The sequence below is a fragment of the Homo sapiens genome, chromosome 4 (genome assembly GCF_000001405.40).
Source record: "Homo sapiens chromosome 4, GRCh38.p14 Primary Assembly".
NCBI classification, from domain to species: domain Eukaryota; kingdom Metazoa; phylum Chordata; class Mammalia; order Primates; family Hominidae; genus Homo; species Homo sapiens.
In genome coordinates this window covers 76265110-76289858 of record NC_000004.12, presented here as the reverse complement: position 1 = coordinate 76289858, position 24749 = coordinate 76265110, and the positions used below count along the sequence as shown (strand labels likewise).

Here is a 24749-nt window from a genome sequence, read left to right as displayed (position 1 = left end):
AGAAAGCAGTAACACCAACATCAACAAAAAGGACACCCACACAAGAAACCTCATTCAAAGGTCATCAGCCTCAACGGTCAAACATAGATAAATCCATGAAGATAAGGAAAAAACAGTGCAAAAAGGCTGAAAATTCCAAAAACCAGAATGCCTCTTCTTCTCCAAATGATCGCAACTCCTCTCCAGCAAGTGCACAAAACTGGACAGAGAATGAGGTTGACGAATTGACAGAAGTAGGCTTCAGAAAGTAGCTAATGACAAACGCCCCTGAGCTAAAGGAGCATGTTCTATCCCAATGCAAGGAAGTTAAGAACCTTGACATAAGGTTACAGGAACTGCTAACTAGAATAACAAGTTTAGAGAAGAACATAAATGACCTGATGGAGCTGAGAAACACAGCATGAGAACTTCGTGAAGCATACACAAGTATCAATAGCCGAATCGATCAAGCAGAAGAAAGGATATCAGAGATTGAAGACCAGCTTAATGAAATAAAGCATGAAGACAAGATTAGAGAAAAAAGAATGCAAAGGAATGAGCAAAGCTTCCACAAAATATGGGACGATGTGAAAAGACCAAACCTATGATTGACTGGGGTCCCTGAAAGTGATGGGGAGAAAGGAAACAAGTTGGAAAATACACTTCAGAATATTATCCAGGAGAACTTCCCCAACCTAGCAAGACAGGCCAACATTCAAATTCAGGAAATACAGAGAACACCACTAAGATACTCTCGAGAAGAGCAACCCCAAGACATATAATCGTCAGATTCACCAAGGTTGAAACAAAGGAAAAAATGTTAAGGGCAGCCAGAGACAAAGGTCGGGTTACCTACAAAGGGAAGCCCATCAGACTAACAGTGGATCTGTCTGCAGAAACCCTACAAGCCAGAAGAGAGTGGGGGCCAATATTCAACATTCTTAAACAAAAGAATTTTCAACCTAGAATTTCATATCCAGCCAAACTAAGTTTCATTAAGTGAAGGAGAAATAAAATCCTTTACAGACAAGCAAATGCTGAGGGATTTTGTCACCACCAGGCCTGCCTTACAAGAGCTCCAGAAGGAAGCACTAAACATGGAAAGGAAAAACTGCTACCAGCCACTGCAAAAACACACCAAAATATAAAGATCAGTGATACTATGAAGAAACTGCATCAACTAATGTGCAAAATAACCAGCTAACATCATGATGACAGGATCAAATTCACACATAACAATATTAACCTTAAATGTAAATGGGCTAAATGCCCCAAATAAAAGGCACGACTGGCAAATTGGATACAGTCAAGACCAATCAGTGTGCTATATTCAGGAGACCCATCTCACATGCAAAGATACATATAAGCTGAAAATAAAGGGATGGGGGAATATTAACCAAGCAAATAGAAAGCAAAAAAAAAAAAAAAAAAAAAGCAGGGGTTGCAATCCTAGTTTCTGATAAAACAGACTTTAAACCAACAAAGATCAAAAAAGACAAAGAAGGGCATTACATAATGGTAAAGGGATCAATGCAACAAGAAGAGCTAATTATCCTAAATACATATGCACCCAATACAGGAACACCCAGATTCATAAAAACAGTTCTTAGAGACCTACAAAGAGACTTACACTCCCACACAATAATAGTGGGAGACTTTAACACCTCACTGTCAATATTAGATCAACGAGATAGAAAATTAACAAGGATATTCAGGACTTGAACTCAACTCTGGACTAAACAGACCTATCTACAGAACTCTCCACCCCAAATCAACAGAATGTACATTCATCTCAGCACCACATAGCACTTACTCTAAAATAGACCACATAATTGGAAGTAAAACACTCCTCAGCAAATGCAAAAGGAGAAGAATCATAACAAACATCCACTCAGACCACAGTGCAATCAAATTAGAACTCAGGATTAAGAAACTCACTCAAAACTGCATGTCTACATGGAAACTGAACAACCTGCTCCTGAATGACTACTGGTAAATGACAAAATTAAGGCAGAAATAACGAAGTTCTTTGAAACCAGTGAGAACAAAGATACAACGTTCCAGAATCTCCAGGACACAGCTAAAGCAGTGTTCAGGGGAAATTTGTAGCACTAAATGCCCACATCAGAAAGCAGGAAAGGTCTAAAATCGACACACTAACATCACAATTTAAAGAACCAGAAAAGCAAGACCAAACAAATTCAAAAGCTAGCAGAAGACAAGAAATAGCTAAGATCAGAGCAGAACTGAAGGAGATAGAGACAAGAAAAACCCTTCAAAAAATCAAACAATCCAGAAGCTGGTTTTTTTAAAAGATTAGCAAAATAGATAGACTGTTAGCCAGACTAATAAAGAAGAAAAGAGAGAAGAATTAAATAGACACAATAAAAAATGATGAAGGGGATATCACCACTAATCCCACAGAAATACAATCTACCATCAAATAATACTATAAACAACTCTACTCAAACTAGAAAATCTAGAAGAAATGAATAAATACCTGGACACATACACCCTCCCAAGACTAAACCAGGAAGAAGTTGAATCCCTAAATAGACCAATAACAAGTTCTGAAATTGAGGCAGTAATTAACAGCCTACCAACCAAAAAAGGCCCATCAGTGCAAAAATCCTTAGTAAAATACTGGCAATCCGAATCCAGCAGCACATCAAAAAGCTTATCCACTGCAGTCAAGTCGGCTTCATCCCTGAGATCCAAGGCTGGTTCAATATGCACGAATCAATAAACATAATCCACCACATAAACAGAACAAATGACAAAAACCATATGATTATCTTAATAGATGCAGAAAAGGCCCTCAATAAAATTCAACACCCCTTCCTGATAAAAACTCTCAATAAACTAGGTACTGATGGAACAAAATAATAAGAGCTATTTAGGACAAACACATAGCCAATATCATACCGAATCGGCAAGAGCTGGAGGCATTCCCTTTGAAAACTGGCACAAGACAAGGGTATCCTCTCTCACCACTCCTATTCAACATAGTATTGGAAGTTCTGGCCAGGGCAATCAGGCAAAAGAAAGAAAGAAATATTAAATTAGGAAGAGAGGAAGTCAAATTGTCTCTGTTTGCAGACAACATGATTGTGTATTTAGAAAACCCCATCGCCTCAGCCCCAAAATCTCCTTAAGCTGATAAGCAACTTCATCAAAGTCTCAGGATACAAAATCAATGTGCAAAAATCACAAGCATTCCTATACACAAATAATAGACAAGCAGAGAGCCAAATCATGAGTGAACTCCCATTCACAGTTGCTACAAAGAGAATAAAACACCTAGGAATACAGCTTACAAGGGACGTGAAGGACCTCTTCAAGGAGAACTACAAACCACTGCTCAAGGAAATAAGAGAGGACACAAACAAATGGAAAAACATTCCATGCTCATGGAGAGGAAGAATCAATATTGTGAAAATGGCCATAACTGTCCAAAGCAATTTATAGATTCAATGCTATTCCCATCAAGCTATCATTGACTTTCTTCATAGAACTAGAAAAAGCTACTTTAAATTTCATATGGAACCAAAAAAGAGCCCATATAGCCAAGATAATCTTAAGCAAAAAGAACAAAGCTGGAGGGATCATGCTACCTGACTTCAAACTATACTTCAAGGCTACAGTAAACAAAACAGCATGGTACTGGTACCAAAAAGACAGATAGACCAATGGAACAGGACAGAGGCCTCAGAAATAACATCACACATCTACAACCATCTGATCTTTGACAAACCTGACAGAAACAAGCAATGGGGAAAGGATTCCCTATTTAATAAACGGTGCTAGGAAAATGGGCTAGCCATATGCAGAAAACAGAAACTGGACCTCTTCTTTACACCTTATATAAAAATTAACTCACGATGGATTAAAGACTTAAACATAAAACCTAAAACCATAAAAACTCTAGAAGAAAACCTAGGCAATACCATTCAGGACATAGGCATGGACTAAGACTTCATGACTAAAACACCAAAAGCAATTGCAACAAAAGCCAAAATTGACAAATGTGATCTAATTAAACTAAAGAGCTTCTGCTCAGCAAAGGAAACTATCATCAGCATGAACAGGTAACCTACAGAATGGGAGAAAATTTTTGCAATCTATCCATCTGACAAAAGCCTAATATCCAGAATCTACAAGGAACTTAAACAAATTTACAAAATAAAACACAAACAACCCCATCAAAAAGTGGGTATAGGATATGATCAGACACTTCTCAAAAGAAAACATTTATGTGGCCAACAAACATATGAAAAAAAGCTCATCATCACTGGTCATTAGAGAAATGCAAATCAAAACCACAATGAGATACCATCTCATGCCAGTTAAAATGGCGATCATTAAAAAGTCTGGAAACAACAGATGCTGGAGAGGATGTGGAGAAATAGGAATGCTTTTACACTGTTGATGGGAGTGTAAATTAGTTCAACCATTGTGGAAGACAGTGTGGTGATTCCTCAAGGATCTAGAACCAGAAGTACCATTTGACCCAGCAATCCTATTACTGGGTATACACCCAAAGGATTATAAATCATTCTAGCACATGTATGTTTGTTGAAACACTATTTACAATAGCAAAGACTTGGAACCAACCCAAATGCCCATCAATGATAGACTGGATTAAAGAAAATGTGGCACATATACTATGCAGCATAAAAAAGAATGAGTTCACATCCTTTGCAGGGACATGGATGAAGCTGGAAACCATCGTCCTCAGCAAACTAACACAGGAACAGAAAACCAACCACCACATGTTCTCACTCATGAGTGGGAGTTGAATAATGAGAACACATGGACACAGGGAGGGGAACATCATACACAGGGGCCAGCCAGAGGGTGGAGGGCAAGGGGAGGGAGGGCATTAGGACAAATACCTAATGCATGCAGGGCTTAAAACCTAGATGACAGGTTGATAGGTGCAGCAAACCACCATGACACATGTATACCTAATGTAACAAACCTGAACATTCTGCACATGTATCCCGGAACTTAAAGTAAAAGTTAAAAAAAAAGATACTCTGTGGACAGAATATGTTTTTAATAAATAATTTCCTTTCAATAAATCCTTTTTTGATTAAATTATTCCCTATATGTTTCATAGAAAAAAATCTAGGATACATTCCAATGAGCAAAGAGCAGTTACTGCTAACTCTATAGGAAGAATTAGTATTTTCTATGTTCTTTTTGCTAGTCTATGTTTTCTGATTTTCCTAATATGAGCATTAACTTTTTTTTAGAGACAGGATCTCACTCTGTCACCTAGGCAAAAGGGCACTGGCATGATTATAGCTCACTGCAGCCTTGAACTACTGGATTCAAGCCATCCTCCTGACTTGACCTCCCAAAGCACTGGGATTATAGGAGTGAGTGGTCACACCCAGAGAGTATTAACATTTTAAAATAAAATATAATTTTTAAAAGGTAATTAAAATACATGTCATCTTGAGTTTCCATTAAACCTTCTGACCTATGACCTTATGTTATAGATACACATTTATTATCAACACTAACATGCCTGTCTTAGTCCATTTGTGTTGCTACAAAGGAATACCTGAGGCTGGGTAATTTTTAAGAAAAGAAATTTATTTGGCTCATAGCTCTACAGGGTGTACAAGAAGCATGGTGCCAGCATCTGCTTCTGGTGAGGGCTTCAGGATTCTTCCACTCGTGGCAAAAGGCAAAGGGGAGCTAGCATGTGCAGACATCACATGGTGAGAGAACAAGCAAGAGAGAGGAGGAGGAGCCAGGCTCTTTACAATAACCAGTTCTCACAGGAACTAAGAGTGAGAATTCACTCACTCCTGTGAGAATGGCACCAAGCCATTCACGAGGGATCCACCCCCATGACTCAAACATCTCAAACCAGCCCCCATGTCCAACACTGGGGATCAAGCTGCAACATAAGATTTAGCGGGGCCAAACAGACCATATCCACCCATGGCAATGCGGACAAAAGGAAAAAATATCTCAGTAAATTTAATTCAAAATGAAAGAAAATAATATTGTAAAGGAAGAGGAAAGGAGGTACTCATTCAATACCAGGGGAAAAACCTGGGAAAAAGGCAATAGAGTAAGTCTGTTTTTATTTATGCCTTTATTTATTTTTACCAATAGTTGATATACCTATATAATATTCACGTGCCACAAAAATATGAGAAGATTACATGTGAATATTGATCTCATGGGTGATAAAGTATACAAAATGTTGATTAACTGAAGCAGAAATCCATTGAGAAATGCTTATAACCATCAGGTATTACATTTACAGATGTTGCCAAGTCAAAGTTGAACATCCACAGTGGGACACTCATCATAAACTCTGTTTAATCTTTAAAAGGAGACAGAGAAATAGCCAAGTACGTAGTAATAAAATCTGCCTAATCATTCTCCTACGATTCTTCTATGCTTGAGTTCGTTTTATAGGAGTCTTATTACATGCACGTTTACATTCCTTCCCGATATACATATTCTCAAGGAACTAAAAAAAAATGAGAGAACCTTCATTAGATTGGCAAACAAAACTTGCACAGTACAGTCCTCCCCACAACCACTACCATATCTAACTCAAAATTTCACACTCTAATATATATCCTTACACTATGCAAAATCACATGTTAATAATCTGACCATGATAGATGTTGGTCTTTGGAAGGTAGTCACACAGTATCAGAAACACTCAGATGGAATTCACACTTGTTCTGTGCCCAAGTCTGGCCCAGCCCAGCTCAACATAGCCTTGTGCTGCCCATCCCTGCTACTAAGGCTTGGGATCCATCCGTGCAGCAGAGGGAATGAGGCTGTGGGTGATGCATCAAGTAGTTAATCCAGCAGCAGATACTGGAATGTGTAGGTAAGTGCATATGTTCACATAACATATGTGAATGTACACAGGAGGTTAAAAAAAAGAATGAATGTTCACATATAGATTTAAGTAAATAATAACTGTGTATACACACACACACATACACACACATATATTTATATACTGTGTGTGTGTATATGCATATATATCTTATTCCCTGTGATAGAGCCCCTTCTCTCCTTCAGTTGAAATCTTATTGATAAAATAAGAATATAGGATGTAAGAATAAAGGGACAAAATATTGTAGGGTTTTGAGTGACAGGTGTTCTCAGAGGACTCTGTTGTGACCAGGGGCATCATTTCTCTAGTCAATGTGACTGAAAAGAGGACAGCCAGATGTAGGGAGACCCCCTGAAACTATTGCTACGGAATAAAAGATGAAATGCTCCTGATTATTGTAAATACAAAATTGCATGCAGGATTGTGTAAAGACAATGCCAGGTTGGGCTGCCAGAACGAGCCAACAGCGCATGATGTGCTTCCCCCTGCAGACAGCCTATGAACGGACGTGCAGTCAGGGAGGTTGCACATCACCAACATTCCTATCCCAGAAAAGCAGATGTTCATAGCTCTGGGAATGGAATGCGACCCTTGTGGAAAGCCTATAAACGGACACATGGGGGGCGCCTGTCCATATGGATAAGATAGGGCTATAAATGCCCTCATCTTGCCACAGCTCTTCTAGGCCTCTTTAGGGTTAAGGCATACTCCCTTCTGAGAATTTCTGGTCTAACTGGTTGTCTAGCTTCACCTCCTGTTTCCATGGATTGTTTGTAACCAGCTTTTGTGGCAACTGTTACTGTTGATTAATATCTTGCTAATCATAGGTTATGGAAAGATTGTGTTTCTATTTTAAGATTCTGTTAGAAATTATTGACGCACACACTATATTGTAAATTCTTATCTCTGTACACTGTACTTCTACATACAAATGTACTGTACTTCTACATACAAATGTTATGTTAAAGAATTACTTCATCCCCATGTGACCATCTCATCTCACAATCAAATGACCCTAAATCTCTCACTAACCTACCCCCGCCCTCACTAAACTTAATAATAAATGCTGGTATATCCAGTGCATTGTTGGCACCGTGGGACCAGAAGGCGGTGACACCCCTGGACCCAGCTTTCACTATCTTGTGTGTGTCTATTATTTCTCAACCTGCCAATCCGCCTGGGAACAGAGAGCCCCGTTGCATTGCGGGCTGCTGGCCAGATCCTGCAATAGCCAGTGTGTCAGGCATGCTTCCTTTTGCCCAAAACTGAACTAAATGTTCATGAACAGTATGGATTAAATCAATAGGGAACACATCAAAATGAAAAAAAGAAGGGTGTTTTGCCACTAAAAATGTTAAGATACAAAAATGAGCCACAATAATATCAATGGCAAATAAGGATTTATATATACACACACATATACCACAGAAGTACATTTTTACATATCTAATATGGACTCGTAAACACATAATTATGTAATATTAAAGCTATAGATGCATATTTTATATTTTATATATTATATATAAATATAGTTATGCAAACCTTATATACAGATTAGGCAGTTATTTGTATATTAAATATATCTAGCAGACCTAGTATTGATGTTCAAAGCTAAAGGAGTTCCTCCAAACCAGTTCTATAATGGAGTTTCCCAGTCTCAAATCTCCATCTCATGCTCTAGACTTGCCTGATTTAACTTTGAAACCAGTCTGATTCTGAACTTTGTCCTACATTTATTTGCTAGCTGTATCAGCTATTGTTAGTTCTATCACTCTTGGAAAAACAGAAATCAAATCTCCCATTTCCAGAAACTTCTGACCATCTCAGTTGCACTGTCCCCTAAAGACCCCAAGGTACGTGCACACAGAGGACAGTGGACAAATGCTTGACATTATCAGCTATGACTTCAGCCCCAGATGCCTATCTAGTCTCCTGCTGCAGTGACAGGGCTGATCTGGGCACACTGCTCGAGGCAGCAGGCCCTCCCGCTCCATGTTCCCTTCTGCCAACCTCCCACCCCAACCCTGTTACAAGTGATTGTCCAAAGGGGGACCACATTGTGTGGAGATGCTGGGGCCAGCTTTACAAGTTAGTGAGGGGAAACCAGGAGGCAGAAATGAAGAAAGGGAAAAAAGACAGAAGACACTGGCCAGGCCCCCCAGGAAGTGAACTTTTGCCTTAGCCTGTTTCTACTTGAGGCAGAGCTAATAGTGCAATGATGAAATTGCAAATCCCAACGCTATTTTGTCCTAACCCAAGCCACAGCTCTTTGTCCTTAGACCAGGACGCAAAGGAGACTTGAAAACATCCTAGAGAATTCAGGGTGTTGAGTAACAGTTGGAATTTGCAAGGCCCATGCCCTGTACATAGACCTCCTATTGAGGCCAAATCCAAGGAAGATGAGTCAAAGATCACAGGGAAATAGTATCTCTGATAGTAGCAGAAACCAAATAGGCAGAATAAAAAGGGCAAAATGCCATATCCTATCTCTGAGTCCCCGTCTGGGGAGAAGCATGCCCTTTCTTCCAGGGGCCTGTCTTGGTATGTGCCTGTAAGAGAACTATTTGGGTTTGTCAGGGTCATAACCTCTTCCCGTCAACAACTGTGAGCCATGAAGCCCCTCAGCAGGGCCTTCTGAAAGGACCCTTTACTCACACGTGGCGTCCTGTAGCCCCTGCTTAGAATGAAATCCTTAAAGGCAACTGTTCCGTGAAGGTCTGCAAGTAACTCCTCCTAAAAGAGTACCCACATTTGAAGAAAGGGGTCAGCCATCAGAAGCTTGATTTCATATTTGTTCTCATTAAAAGCATTTAGTTCCTTATAAAGTATCTCATTTTAACCCATATCCTTCTTGTTTTTGAATATGTGTGTAATGTTCATGAGTTGATGAATATGAAGGCTTTTAAAGATGTCCAGCTTTCTCTCCTTCCCCTAGCCTTTTCCTTATCCCCATATTAAGGATGGGCAACACATTTTAGCAATTAGACAATTATTGACCTATGATGTCTGGAATCTAACCTAGTTAAGATTAACAGTATGTCCACAAATCATAGATCTTAACTTCAAAGGACAGGACAATCAAATATGATTTGATCAGTCCCAACATCTACAATATTTATGCATCTTTTTAGTTTTTCTTTACATTTATTTTAATTTAAAAATTGGATGCATAAGTTTACATAATTTCAATTCAGTACTTTAAAACCATTTCACCTTCCAAACCAAATCTATCAAGAATAGTCAAAACTCACGAGTTCCCAGAAAGACAGTCATGTTGTCATAGTTACTGTCTCTTACCAGTACCCCACAGTGCCTGCGTCTTGTAAACTGGGGTGCCACAGCCTGGTGGTGCCACCTATAGTCGATAATGTAAATCATTCCTCAGGTATTAAAAAGGTGTGATTTATAAAAATTATTGTAGAACAATTCCATTGTTATGCATCCTCCCTGTGTCTAAACTGCCTGATAAACAATCTTTTACTATACGAGTTATATCAATTATATTTAAATAATGCTACTTTATTAGCTCACTGTAACCATTTTGGCAAACATCTTTATAGCATTTGTCATCAAAATGAAATATGTTTTGTAAAACTTTTGAAGTCTTTAAGAATTAGTAATTAAGAATATGCTTTTAAAAAGAGAACTCTAGATACCTTAAAGCAAAAGTTTGTAGCTATTTTTCTTTTTAAATATTTAATTTGAGAAAAAATGATGTTACCTTTTATAATAAAAGTGCAACTGGAATAGCTTTATGTTATATATTAAATTCACATAAACCTAGGCTTTCCAAAAACCATACTAAGAAATTCTGCCAAACATTATTTACATAATTTTGAGACTTATATAAACATGGGGTGCTCATAAATTTGTATCATACCTCACACCTGAAAATAAGAATTTATATTCAGTACTGGAAAAGATTAAAATGACCATCCTTCCTGTCTTAGCTTTCCAATCTGAAGAAGACAATTGATGAGTGATTACTGAAGAATAATAAGTCTAATTTGTATTGTATTTTACTTTCTCAAAGTGTTTTCACGTCTGTTATCTAGGAGAAGTTTGGGGTCTGTTGAAAAAGAGAAGAGGTTTGCAAATATCCTCATTAGAGTACTATGCAAGTGTTGCATCACTATTTCCAAATTTCCAGGGCCATAATGAGTATCTTCTTTCCACTAGCTACTTTTACACAAGCAATGAGCAGGCAGGGTTTATCTGTAGTAAAATTAGAGCACACCCTTGTTGTGAGTGTTTGTTGCTTTGCAATATCAAACAGTGCTTAACCTTTGTCCCTTTCCTCTCAGACAGATCCTGCAACTCAAATGAATTGCCTAAAAGAAATTTCCTGGTTGAAATTTTGAATTTTTTGACATTCACCCATAGCTGATAGGAAACAAGCTTCACATTTTGTTACCCAAAGATAACTCATGACAGCACATCTATTCTGGGCACTGAGGTGGTCGTACCAAGTCACACCACCCTTTGAACAATTATCCTTGGAATAAATTGTTCCAAGAATGGTGGAATAGCATGAGTAGCTGTCCAATCTTTAGAGATGTCATGTCTACCACAAAGCCAGGAGATTCCAAGTCTTGCTTATTACACATTCTCCTTAACATTACTTAGCTTTCTCCTTGCTGAATTCAATATGCAAGGTGGAGGGCTTTCAGGAGCCTTTGTATTACGCCGCAGAGTCTGGTTCAGTAGGAGGGTGGCAGATGCACTGTGATCATCTGAAGCTCAGATGATCAAATCTCAGTATAAATACATACCTGTTCCTGCAGCTCCTTTTTAAAATTCTCCTCTTGAGCCTTATGTGAGACCTCAGGGTCAACCAGAGGCTCGTCTACTCTTTGCTTTTTCCACAACTTGGGGTTCAAATACCATGCTCCATACCTCATCTTCACCCACTTTGGCTTATAAGGATTCTGTGGAAAGTAACATAATTCCCAGTGCCATTGATTTTTTGTTTGTTTGTCATTTCAAAAATCTAAAGCTTAGCTTAGGAGAGCAGGATCATTACTTTGGAATTTAGGTTGGTCCTTGCCAAAGTATTTTGTGAAGTTTCAGCATGCTTTGATTTTACAAAGTAAACATTAAAGTTCATGATTTAAAAATAATGCAGTGGTTAATAACATGGCCTTTGGATTTTGACAGACCAGGGTTCAAATCCAGCTTTCCCCAACTTAGTAGGTGGAGTCCATGATCAAGTTACATAAATTCTTCATCTGTAAAATGGAGATAACAATAGTATACATCCCCACAGGGCTGTTGTGAAGATTAAAGGAGAGAATGTATGTAAAGCAGCTAGGAATCACGTAAAAATCACATATTTCCCCCTAGGGTAAAGACCTTGAACAATACTCAGTCAACCAAAATAGTAAGTTATTAAATAGTGTGAGCCCAGCACGGTGCTCAGCCTTGCACATGCTACAATATTTTTTTTTTTATCAAACTGCTAACACCAAGCTTTTGCCTTTTTTTTTTCTTTTTCTTTCTTTTTTTTTGAGACGGAGTCTCGCTCTGTCGCCCAGGCTGGGGTGCAGTGAGTGGCACGATCTCGGCTCACTGCAAGCTCCGCCTCGCAGGTTCACACCATTCTCCTGCCTCAGCCTCCCAAGTAGCTGGGACTACAGGCGCCCACCACCATGCCCGGCTAATTTTTTTGTATTTTTTAGTAGAGACGGGGTTTCACCATGTTAGCCAGGATGGTCTTGATCTCCTGACCTCGTGATCCGCCCGCCTCGGCCTCCCAAAGTGCTAAGATTACAGGCCTGAGCCACTGCGCCCAGCCAAGCTCTTGCCTTTATAACTGGAAGAGAGAAAGAGGACGATGAACATATCTCATTCCCTTCTTTCCCCGATTCCTCAGTAGCACATCAAGGACGTTAGGAGAACCTGTTGTTGGTTCATAGACTGATACTGTGAATGCAATACCCACACTGTCTCACCACAAAAGGGAGTCTAACTCTTGGGTGTCAGAAACATGAAACCACAAAGATTCTGTCTCTGTCTCCTCTCATGCACATTTAAACTATGTGGCAGAATGTGTGGGGCATTCTAGAGTCGAGCCAGATACGCTCCAAGAAAGAGAGGATGGGACAGAGGAGACGGGAGGGAAATCTCTTCCAGAGCTGGATTCAGCATTGTGATCTCTCTGTTCCGAGCATACAGACCGCCTTGCTATTTCCAGAGCACCCTTGTCATGCTTCTGCCTCAGTGCCTCTACACACACTGTTCCCTCTACTGTAATGTTTTTCCCCAAGACACACACATGGCTTGCTCTTTTACCTATTTCATGTCATCTTTTCAGTGGCATCTTCCCTGGCCATCCAATTTAAAAAATGGTAACCCTGGGCCGGGCACAGCACTTTGGAAGGCCAAGGTGGGCGGATCACCTGAGGTTGGGAATTCGAGATCAGCCTGGTGAAACCCTGTCTCTACTAAATATACAAAATTAGCTGGGCATGGTGGCGCATGCCTGTAGTCCCAGCTACTCGGGAGGCTGAGGCAGGAGAATCGCTTGAACCCGGGAGGTGGAGGTTGCAGTGAGCTGGGATCACGCCACTGCACTCCAGCCTGGGCGACAGAGTGAGACGCTGTCTCCCCAAATAAACAAAAAAACAAACAAACAAAAAAAAGTAACCCCCTCCCAACAGTCTTTGCCTTCTTTCTCTGCTTCACTTTTCTTAATGACCCTCATCACCATTTCTATGCTATATATTTTCTGATCGTTTGTCTGTCTCTCTTCTTGTTCTCTAAAATATAAGCTTCGGAAATTATTCCCAGCTACATCTCCCTAGCATCTAGAAAAATACTTAGGACATAATGGGTGCTTAATAAGTATTTGTTGAATGAAAGTCAGGTCTCTTAACTTTGGCACTATTGACATTTGGTACTGGAGAACTATTTGTATGTAGGGGAGGGGTGTGTGTGTGTGTGTGTGTGTGTGTGTGTGTCTGTCTGTCTGTCTGTCTGTCTGTCCCATGCATCATAGAATGTTTAGCAGCATTCCTGGCTTCTACCCACTAGATTCTAATAGCATCCCCCAAGTGGTGACAACCAAAAATGTCATCTTTAGATATTGCCAAATATCCCTGAGGTGGAGGAAGGGGGGCAAATTGCCCTCAGATGTGAACCACTGAAATGAAAAAGGGAAGGAAAGAGATTGGGGTAGAAAGGGGAGAAGGAGAGGAATGGAATCTACATTACTGCCACACTGAAGAACTTGAATTCTGGAATATGTTATGTTGTTGGGTAACTGGTGATCTTTCCAGACTCAAGATAAACATAATTCCTTCTGTGATGCCTTTGTAAACATGCCCTCACCCCGTGCTTGATGGAATTGATTACCTCTTCCTATGTCCTGCACAAACCATGACATCATTTCGCTATAGTTAATCATTTACCTGTTGACCCCACTAGGCTGTAATCTCCATAAGTGCAGGAAACAGTCCTCCATTTTTGCTTCACTTGTTCCCAGCACTTTTGGACACATAGTGGTCGGTGCTCAAAAACCTACTACTGTTTTTGAATAAATGCATACACAAATTGATGAATTAATATAGACGGCAAAGAAAGATATATAAAATAGAGGCACAGATTGCTGTGAGAGATTAGAAGTAAGAACAAATTAATGTCAACCAAGCGACCTAGAAGAGCTCCATGGAAAAATCAGCATACTTCCTGTGTCTAAAGGAAGATAGAACCTATGGACATGGAGAGGAGGGGCACTCCAGGCAGCGAGAATACTATGAGCAAGGCTAAGGTGGCAGGAAAGCTCATACACCAAAGACCACAGTTTAGCAGGCCTGAGGGTATGTGGAGTCAGAAAATAAAGACAGGGATGCCCAGAAAACAAAGACAGGGACTTCAGAATGGGGACCAGATTTACCCTGCCACCTTCAACAATCAAAAAACAAGAAAAAATACATGAATTAATACTGTGCAAGACACAAGACATTGGGTAACCAAGGATAGTGATCCTTGAGTGACAAACAAGATAAGCCTCACGACTGCCCTAGCTCACTGCCTTCAGGGAGAGCCCAGGAGGAGCCCAATGGACTCTCTGAATTGAGATGACAGGACCGAGAGTCCAGACAGATCAAGGCAGAGAAAGTTTGCAGCACAGAGTATCAGAAAAGAAAAAGCTGCACAGAGAGAGAACTCCAGGAGATTTCAGAGGGTACCCTTTGTGCATGTGTGGGAGGAAACTACCCATGGTCAGGGAAAGAACCAAAAGGAAAAGAGGGCAGTGTCCAGCACTTACACAGGGCCAGGAACACTGCCTTCTTCCTCCTGGAAAACCTAAAGATCCACAGGACACTAGGCAGAACACACAGAAGGGTCTTGCCTCAATAGCAGGGAATAATTACCCCACATTACTTTGGTCTTTCCCAACAAATTTTTTTTAATAGAGACAAAGTCTCACTCTGTTACCCAGACTGGAGTACAGTGGCACAATCATAGCTCACTATAGCCTTGAACTCCTAGGCTTAAGCAATCCTCCTGCCTCAGCCTCCCAAGTAGCTGGGACTACAGGTACATGCCACCACATCCAGCTAATTTCTTTTCTAAATTTTTTTTTGTAGAGACTGGGGTCTCACTATGTTGCCCGAACTGATCTTGAACTTCTGGCTTCAAGTGATACTTCTGCCTTGGCCTCCCCAAATGCTGGGATTACAGGCATAAGCCACCACACCCAACCCCAACAAATCTTAAAAGCAAAACTCAAAAGGATCAAACTTCCAAGTAACTTGGTTGCATCCCAGAACAAAGTTCAAGAATATTTATAGGAATACAAATAGTCAACACCCAGTAAGATAAAGTTAGCACTGCCTAGCATCCATCAAAGATTACCAGCCACACAGAGATTCAGGAAAGTATGACCCATAATGAGGAGACAAATCACCTAGTGGAAACTGACACAGAACTGATGCAGATGTTAGAATCAGTAAACAATGCCATCACAGCAATTGTTATAACTATGTTTTTTATGCGCAAAAGGTGAAGTTGAGACATGGAAGATATAAATTAAAAAGACCTAAGTTAAACTTTTAGAGATAAAAATTATAACATAGGAGATTCTAAAAAAATACTAGATGGGATTAACAGAAGATTAGACATTGCAGAAAAAAAAATAGAGAATTTAACGACATAGCCATAGAAACACAAAAAGAAAAGAGAATTTAAAAAGCTGACCAGAGCAGTGGTGAGCTGTAAAACAACTTCAAGCGGCCTAATTACAGTTAATTAGAGTTCTGGGAAGGGATTGAAAAACAACAAAAAAAAAGTTTGAAGAAATATAGTCCAAAATTTTCCAAAATTAATGAAAACTATAAGCCCACAAATCCAAAAGGCTCAACAAGCCACAAGTACATGAAACATGAAGAAAGATACACCAAGGTTTATGATAATCAAAATGCTCAAAACCAGTGACAAAGAGAAAATATTAAAAGCATCCAAGGAAAAAGCACATCCCCCCAAAAAGAAGATGAGGATGATATAAGATTTCTCCTAGAAACAGTACAACCAAGAAGACAGGAAGGCAAGACCTTTAGTGAAATTTTTAAAACTGTGAATTAACTTTGAACTAGAATTCTTTTCCCACAAAATACAAAATTCCCCCTTATCCATGTTTTTGCTCTCTGCATTTTCATTTACCTGTGGTCAACCACGGTCTGAAGTATTAAATGGAAAATTCTAGAAATAAACAACTCATAAGTATTAAATCGTGAGCCATTCTCAGTAGCATGATGAAATCTCAAGCCATCCTTGTTCCATTCCTCCAGGGATATGATCATCTCTTTGTCCAGAGTATCCACACTGTACACACTACCCACCCTTAGTCACTGAGTAACCGCCTGTTATCATATCAAAAAACGCAGTATATATAGGAGTTAGCACTATCCAAAGTTTCAGCATCCACTGGAGGATCTTGGAACATAACCCCTACAGGTAACAGATAACAGGCGACTACTGAATCTTTTTAAATGAGGCAGAACAAGTTGTCTTCAGACATACAAAAGCTGAAAGAATTCATCACCAGCAGATCCACCCTGGAAGAAATGTCAAAAGAGGTCTTCTAGTCAGAAGAGAAAATATATTATGTGGAAATATATTTTCAACTTTTGTATAGTGACCCTCCATTTGCCAGTCAAAAGCTCAATTTTGGCAATAACTTCCATGGTTTATAAAGTAGTGTTTGCATAACTATTTCTAAATACAGGGAATTGAGCAATTTTATTCAGCCCAGAATCAGGACAAGCAGTGGTTCAGGCCTCAGGTGTGATGGACATAATTTGCCTGTCTAATACCATTTTGCATTTTACCTTTTAGAAAGATGAAAGGAGAATGGAAAAATAAAAGTGCTGATATTCATGATGAAATGCATAGTTTTCATAAACCGTATGCAATGGAGTAAAGGATAGAAACATAATGTGTGCCAAAATAGGTTGGCAAATGTGTTCAACTGTAAAGGACAAAATTAATATGTCCCAAATATTGAAGTATAATATCAAAGATTATGTGTAAAAGGCAGAAGACAATTAGAGATAAAATATTGTTTTTCATTTTCAGGGAAGGGCTCTCCCCTCCAACTTAGGAACTTAAATCTGTTGTTGACTCACATAACTTGACTTGTGTATATATATTTGCAGTGACACACTGTAGAAAAGTAAATAGTACTTTAGGGGCCCACAATACTTCCCTTTGGAACATGGCATGTTATTTCTCCTTTCTGTTACCTTGTTCTTCCATCTTTACAGAAACTTGGTGCTGAGGAAACTTGTTAATCATTAGGCAAGCATGTGGTCAAGAATGATGGTTTGTGGTCAATAAGACTCCAGCAAAAATTTAAGAATTCTTTGGACATAATATTAACAGCATTCATAATAATTAATTGCAGCATTTTGCTCTTGCAATAATAACCATTCATGTATATTTCTACTGACTTTTAGTATTCCAACATATAAAACACCTAACAAATTATCTCTGAAAATGACTATTCAGGTATTAAAAATAATCCCAAATGACATGCCTCATTTGTATAACTGACTTTGTTATAGGTATTAAACATGCATTTATTTAACAAATATTAATCATGAAAAAAATTCCAGAATTCTACTTTAAAAAACCAGTACCCATGACACATCAGAATTCAAGAACTTTAAGACTTCAATACAACTTAATTTTCTTTGATTTTCGGTCTGGTCCCCTTCTGCAATTACCTGTGGTTTCTGGAGTTTCCTCTCATAGCCTAGTTTCTGGAAGAACTCTGTCTCCTGCAGTTTACTGAGCCCCACACTACGCTTTAGCTCCAGAGGAACCTGATTTAGCTTCATCGTGTGGAGCGCATCATGGCTTGGTTTGGTCTCATAGTCAATGTCAAACTGTTTCAAGATGAACTCTTCATCGATGTCCGAAATTCCCTGGAAGAATATCACATTGCATGAATTGAGGGCAATCGGTGAAATGCTCTTTGCTTTCTTCTTTAATCTGAGGGCCATCGCTGAGGAAAGAGGTAGTTTGGGGAGAGGTAGAAAATGCTCAGTCAGCATTCATTGAAGACAAGAAGTGTTTGGGGTTTGGAGGGCTTTGTCATTAAGAGACAGCTTAGGACTTTGCAAGAAGCAGTGAGGGAAATCATGAGCCCGAGGGAAATTCAGTTTGATCCATAGCAAACTTCTCCAGCACTTTATAGTGGTGCCATCTCTAGAAGTATTTTCCAGACTTGTGTAGATATGGCAGTGTTTTCTCTGCCAATAACTCTGTATAATGGAAGCTGCCAGGTTCACAGCTCCTGCTGAAGGAGGCGGTTTTAGTCAGCCGCATTCTGTACACAGAACAACCTTCACCATTTCCTTCCCTCAGCTACAGCTGGTGGGAGTAGAGATGGGCACATTAAGAGCAGCTAATCTGTATGCTGAGCATTTACCTATGATATGGCTCAAGGCTATATCTTAGACTCAATAGAATCTCACACTGGAAAACAGAAACTGGGAAACACAGAGAGAATGAAGTCACCAGCAGCTGGCATTGTGGCTGGAGTAAAATTTATAGAGAGGAGTCATGAAACAGAATCAGGGACATAAAGGGACAAGTACAGGCAAAACGAGGCTAACGTAATAATGAAGCAGAAATAAAGCAAGCAGAATCAATGAGGTGAAAAATAAACAAACAGCATGGAAGGAAAAGCACAAGCTAGTGCTGTGAAGAAAATCCCACAGGGTGATGAGACAGGGACCCAGCTTGTGGGATGACAGTAAAGATGGGAGCTTGGTCACAGGGTCTGAAACTACAGGCAGTTACCAGAGAAGCTAAACTCTTATTCTAAGGTTCCTTCAGTTTCCTGCCTTGAGAGACGAATCGCCTCCAGCAGCAGGAATGGGAGAAGTGGACGCTGGAAATCAGGCAATCCAATCTGAACAGATTATGGACAAGCAGTAGTTTGGATACTAGGCATAGTGGGCGTCGTCTGCTTCATCCAGCATCCCCGCTTCAATCACCCTCTGAGGAGTCTCTGTCCGTCACTCTCACTCTGTTGCAGCTGGGCTGGACACCCCCACTCTTGGCTTCAGGGTTAGGTGTGTGTCATGGCCTAGCCAATAAGCATATTCCATCTCCTTAATCATAATGGTTAATTCAAGCAAAAGCATGTGCCCCAAGTTAGTCCAGTGAGAGTAATTCCTGGACTTTTCCCTAATGGAAAAGCTTTGCTGTCTTCACACTTAGGTTGCTCGCTGGTAGGATATAAGCTTGGAAATTTTAGTGGCTACTTTTGCCATTTCTTGGGGAAATATTGATTGAGAATGAAGTCCAAGTTGCACAGCCAAAAGATAGGAACAACATCTAAAAATATTTCAGCACCTGGATCCAGCTGTGCCTGAAGTTCCTACTATATCTGGATGCTTCCCTTTTCTCTCTTAAACCAATCTGAATTATATTTAAGTCACTTGCCAATGAAGTAAGTAGCTTGATGTTTAAAGTACTAAAAAAAATACATTGACTAAAACTAACACTCAAAAGATGGGGTGGGGACATGGAATGCAAATCCTAAAGACCTTAAATCCAAGAAAAGCATCAGGTATTTAGACATCTACAGAGACTCAGGAACAGGAATAGGCAACTATATAGGTTCTTGGAAGGCGCACAAGGGAAGACCTTGATAACTGAGTCAAAAGTCTCTTTATGTCAGATTTTTTTTTTTTTGAGACAGGATCTTGCTTTGTTGCCCATGCTGGAGTGCAATGGCATGATGACAGCTCACTGCAGCCTCGATTTCCCAGGCTCAAGCAATCCTCCCACCTCAGCCTCCTGTGTGGGAAGGGGCACACCATCATGCCCAGCTAATTTTTATTTATTTATTTATTTATATTTTTTTAAGACGGAGTCTCTCCCTGTCACCCAGGCTGGAGTACAGTGGCGCAATCTCTGCTCACTGCAACCTCTGCCTCCAGGTTCAAGCAATTCTCCTGCCTCAGCCTCCTGAGTAGCTGGGATTACAGGTGCACACCACCACACCCGACTAATTTTTAAATATTTTTAGTAGAGACAGGGTTTCACCATGTTGGTCAGGCTGATCTCAAACTCCTGACCTTGTGATCCACCCACCTTGGCCTCCCAAAGTGCTAGGATTACAGGCATGAGCCACTGCACCCGGCCTAATTTTTATATTTTTTACAAAAATACAAGAGAGACAAGGTTTTGCCATATTGCCCAGGCTGGTCTTGAACTCTTGAACTCAAGTGATCTGCCCGCCTCAGTCTCCAAAAGTGCTGGGATTACAGGCATGAGCCACTGCACCTGGCATGTCAGAACATTTTTGTGTGAAGATTATAATCAAGGAGTACCTGCCAGAGTACTTCTAGGTAAATCTAACTAAGAAAAATGAGTTGAAGGAGTGAAAGAGAGAAAAGAAAGTCCTAACAATAAAATGGAAAATAAAAATATGAAACAGCTGCAATGATGTGAGATGTAAACATAAACATTCAAATTAGCAGCAAGTTTGCAACCTTTCCAGAAATTTCATCTACCAGAAATATTTCTATTTATACATAATAGAAGAAAATGATTCCTTTACGACTTTGAGGATTTGACTTAGATTTTATCCAATACTGTTTTTTAATAAAAGCAACTTTGAGCTTGACATTTAAAAGTAGGTTTAAATATTACCACTAACTTACAAAAGTAGTAACCCACTTGCAGAAGTCACTAACTGCTTTGCATACATTTTCATGAAGACCAGGACGAGGACCATTTTCATGGAGCAAATCCATTTTATGTGGCTTTTCTTCATAAAGCCATTGGCCTGCGTTTGACACAGACGTCTTCTTGGAACTAAAGATAAGATCATTAAAGAATTACAATATGAGACACAATGAATCCAAATGGATTTCAAACAGTTTTAGAGGCAAAAGGAAATCATAAAGCAAGTATTTCTAACAGTCTCTTGCAAGCTCACATACAAATTGTATTTTAATTTTTCAAAGAGCACATTCTCATTACGAATATCATAAAGACAAGTATATCATGATTAGTTATAATAATTAAAACTTACATAGCATTTACCATTATAAGTTGATTTTTTTAAATTTTGAGTACCATTTATTAAAACATGTACTGGGTAAAAGCCCAAATTACTGTGCTTGAAGTCTACCAAAGCCTCAGGCAACCTTGACAAGTAGGAGTCATCCTTGACTTCTCTAACATTCTTAAAATCCAGCTCAGTTAAGGTCTGGCAGATTGTAACTGTCTCCTTCTCTGGACTGCTGCAAAATGCTAGTGTCTCTGCATCATCAACTCCTATGGCTCCCCCAACCTCCAACCCCCAATCCATTCCCTACAATGCATCCCAAGCAGTCATTTCAAAATGTAACTCTGGACATATCAAATGCAGCCACGCTTCGTCACCATCAATAGCTTCTTTATAAAAATTGAGATATAATTCATCCACCATGAAATTCATAAAATTTACCACTTCAAAAGTGTATGAGAGTACCCTTTATATATTCACAAAGTTGTGCAACCACCACCACTATCTTATTCCAGAACATTTTTATTACCCCGAAAGAAACCCCGCAGCCATTAATAATCACTCACCATTTCCCCATTTCCCTCGCTCCTGGCAACAACTAACCTACTTTTCTGTCTCCGTAGATTTGCCTGTTCTGGATATTTCATCTGAATGGAACCATGCAATATGCAGTCTTTTGTGTCTGGCTTCTCTTAATTAGCATAATGTTTTCAAGGCTCATCCATGTTGTAGCATGTATTAGTAGTTTATTCCTTTTTATGGCCAATACTCCATGGTCTACATAGACCACTTTTTGTTTATCCATTCACAAACATATCCAGGTGATGGACTTTTGGGCTGTTGCCACTTTTTGCCTGTTAAGGACAATGCTGCTATGGATATTCATGAACAAGCTTTTGTGTTCAATAGCCTCTTGCTATTCCTCCAATAAAGACTTAAATCTTGACACAACCTCCAGGGCTCTGCATGGCCTGGCTCTCCAGGTTCTTTGGGACCCACCACCATTTTTTACTCTCTGAGCTCCAGCCAATGTGGCCTTCTCTCAGTTCTGTGAATTCATGCTGCTCCCTCCAGCCATTGGGCCTTTGCTTGAGCTGTTGCATCTGACTGCAATGCTGTCACCATTTCCTTATCCCCTTCATATCTCAACATACATGTGCCTTCCTCGGGGAGGCATCCCCACAAGCTGTCCCCTGAAGCTACTCTTTATTCATAGCCCCTGTACCTTTTATTCATAACACTCATATTAATTTATCCACCCATTCATTCAACAAATATTCAGTAAGCACAGACTATGTGCCAGGCATTAGAATTGAACTGTAAATAAACTTAAGCCCCTGTCCTCATAGAGTATACAACTGAATAGGAGAGACAGATAGTAAACAAACATATGCCGGGTGATTATAAGTTATATAGAGAAAGTAAAATAGGACAGGAGGGGGATGGAGAGTGATGGTAGGGAGCATTTTATTTATACAGAGAAGTTGTCTCTATTAAAGTAATATTTGACCAAAGACCCAAAAGAAGAAAGGGGTCAAACCATGTAAATGTCAAGTCATGCAGATAACAGACAGAAAAGAATGGCATGTGCAAAGAGCTGAGCTGGGAGTGTGCTGAGCATGTCCAAAGAACACAAAGTCCCGTGGAGCGGAGTAATTAAAGAGTAGAATAGTAGAGGATGAGGCTTGAGAGGTGACAGGGACCTAATCATACAGTACTCTGAAGGCAGTTGTAAGGACTTTGGATTTTACTCAGAAAAATAAGCAATTGGAGAATCTCAAGCACTGGAATGACACGACTTGACTTACATTTTTAAAAGGATTATGTCAGCTACTGTGTGACAAATAGACTTGAGAGAGGGGAGCTTGGGTGGAGGCCATGAGACCAGTTAGTAAGCTATTGCAACAATCCAGGCAAGAGGTGATGGAATCTTGGAATAGACTGGTAGTAGTGGAGAAGGTGAGATTCTGGATACATTTCAAAAGTAAAGTCATTACCATTTGCTGGCAGATTGCAACTATTGTTCCAGAAAAAAACTGGAAAGATGGGGTTCCCATTTACTGAACTGGGGAAGACAGAAGGAGGAATAAGTTCGGGGGAGAAAACAAGAGTTCAGTTTTGGGTTTGTCTAGTCTGAGATGCCAATTATACAACTAAGGACAAATACTGAATTAACCATATACAGATGGACCAGAGGAGGTCACTTGGTTGTGAGTAAACGTGCTGAAAAGACGTCAAAGACCAAAGTACTTCAAGGCTAGAAGGTAAAGAGCGGCCAGTAAAAGATGACTACGGAGAGGTCCATGAAAGAGGGATGTTCCAGAAGCCAAGTAAAGAAAGTGTTATGAGAAAGAGGACATGATCAATTACGTCAATTGCTACTATGTATACAACAAGTATGGTGATCCCTGAGAGCTGATTTAGTTAACATAGAGGTCAAAGGAGACCTTGACTAAGGTCAGGTCAGTGGAGTGGTGGAGATAAGAGCCTGATTGTTGTTTGGAGAGAAAAAGACTAAGTGAGTATGAATGCCTCTTTCAAAAAATTTTGCTCTAAAGGAAAGGACAGATTATCTGGTGAGTGGAAGTTGGTGTCGCTTGCATCCTGCCAGCACCTGGATGTGTCCATCAACCCGGAGGTTCATCAGATATATGTGTTCAAGAGTTTTTAATCTTCAGCCACGCCCCTCTCTTTCCCCTCTGAGAGGTCACACTGAGTGGGACTGAACATTCTAACCCTCTAATCACTTGGTCTTTCTGATGACCAGCCACATTCTAAGACAATCTAGGGGCCTCAACCTGAGCACCTCATTAGCATAAACTCACCAGTGACTAAAAGGGGCTCCTTATGAATAACAAAAAGCATTCCTGTCACTCAGGAAATCCCAAGGGTTTTAGGAGCCCTGTGTCAGTAACTGGGGACAAAGACCAAATATATTTATTATATCACAGATCCCTACATATAACACTCCTCTCGCTCCCTCACCCAAGTTCTGAGCAACTTCAAAAACAATACAGAGAGCAAAGACAGTAGCCAAAATATCCCCTTCACTGATAACAGCAGCCATGATAGACGACATGGCTTTAGGTCCAAGAGGACTTGCTAACTGACACTCAGAAATTGGCAGACCCTTCCACCCAGTCCCCTGCAAGGCTGGACCAGGACAGTCCTCCCCTCTAGAATGGGGAAGCAAGGAGAAATTGTGCTTCCCATGGGCCATCTTGCTCCTCATGGAGGAAAGGCAGAACTGAGACAAGCACGTCCAGTTACCCTTCCTACATTTACCAGGAGGTGGACTGAAGAGTCAGAAATGTCCTAAGACTAGAGTTCCTCTCACCTTGTGTCTTACCCTAA

General features: G+C 40.0%; 2 protein-coding genes across 3 annotated transcripts in view; both read right to left on the bottom strand.

The window, feature by feature from the left end:
* FAM47E-STBD1 (FAM47E-STBD1 readthrough) overlaps positions 1-24749 on the bottom strand; it is a 59410-nt gene that overhangs the window by 21272 nt on the left and 13389 nt on the right. The window contains exons 4-6 of the mRNA NM_001242939.2: positions 21091-21199; positions 18091-18291; positions 11635-11790 (exon numbers count right to left, since the gene is read on the bottom strand). Coding sequence (NP_001229868.1) covers positions 11635-11790; positions 18091-18291; positions 21091-21199 — 466 coding nt within the window. The remainder of the gene's footprint in view (positions 1-11634; positions 11791-18090; positions 18292-21090; positions 21200-24749) is intronic.
* The window catches only part of FAM47E (family with sequence similarity 47 member E), a 69744-nt gene continuing 51070 nt past the window's right edge, over positions 6076-24749 (bottom strand). The window contains exons 4-8 of one of the 2 annotated variants that reach the window (NM_001242936.1): positions 21046-21199; positions 18091-18291; positions 11635-11790; positions 9518-9595; positions 6076-6478 (exon numbers count right to left, since the gene is read on the bottom strand). In NM_001242936.1, coding sequence (NP_001229865.1) covers positions 6401-6478; positions 9518-9595; positions 11635-11790; positions 18091-18291; positions 21046-21199 — 667 coding nt within the window. In that variant the 3' untranslated portion in view covers positions 6076-6400. The remainder of the gene's footprint in view (positions 6479-9517; positions 9596-11634; positions 11791-18090; positions 18292-21045; positions 21200-24749) is intronic. The other variant, NM_001136570.3, reaches the window with a different exon arrangement.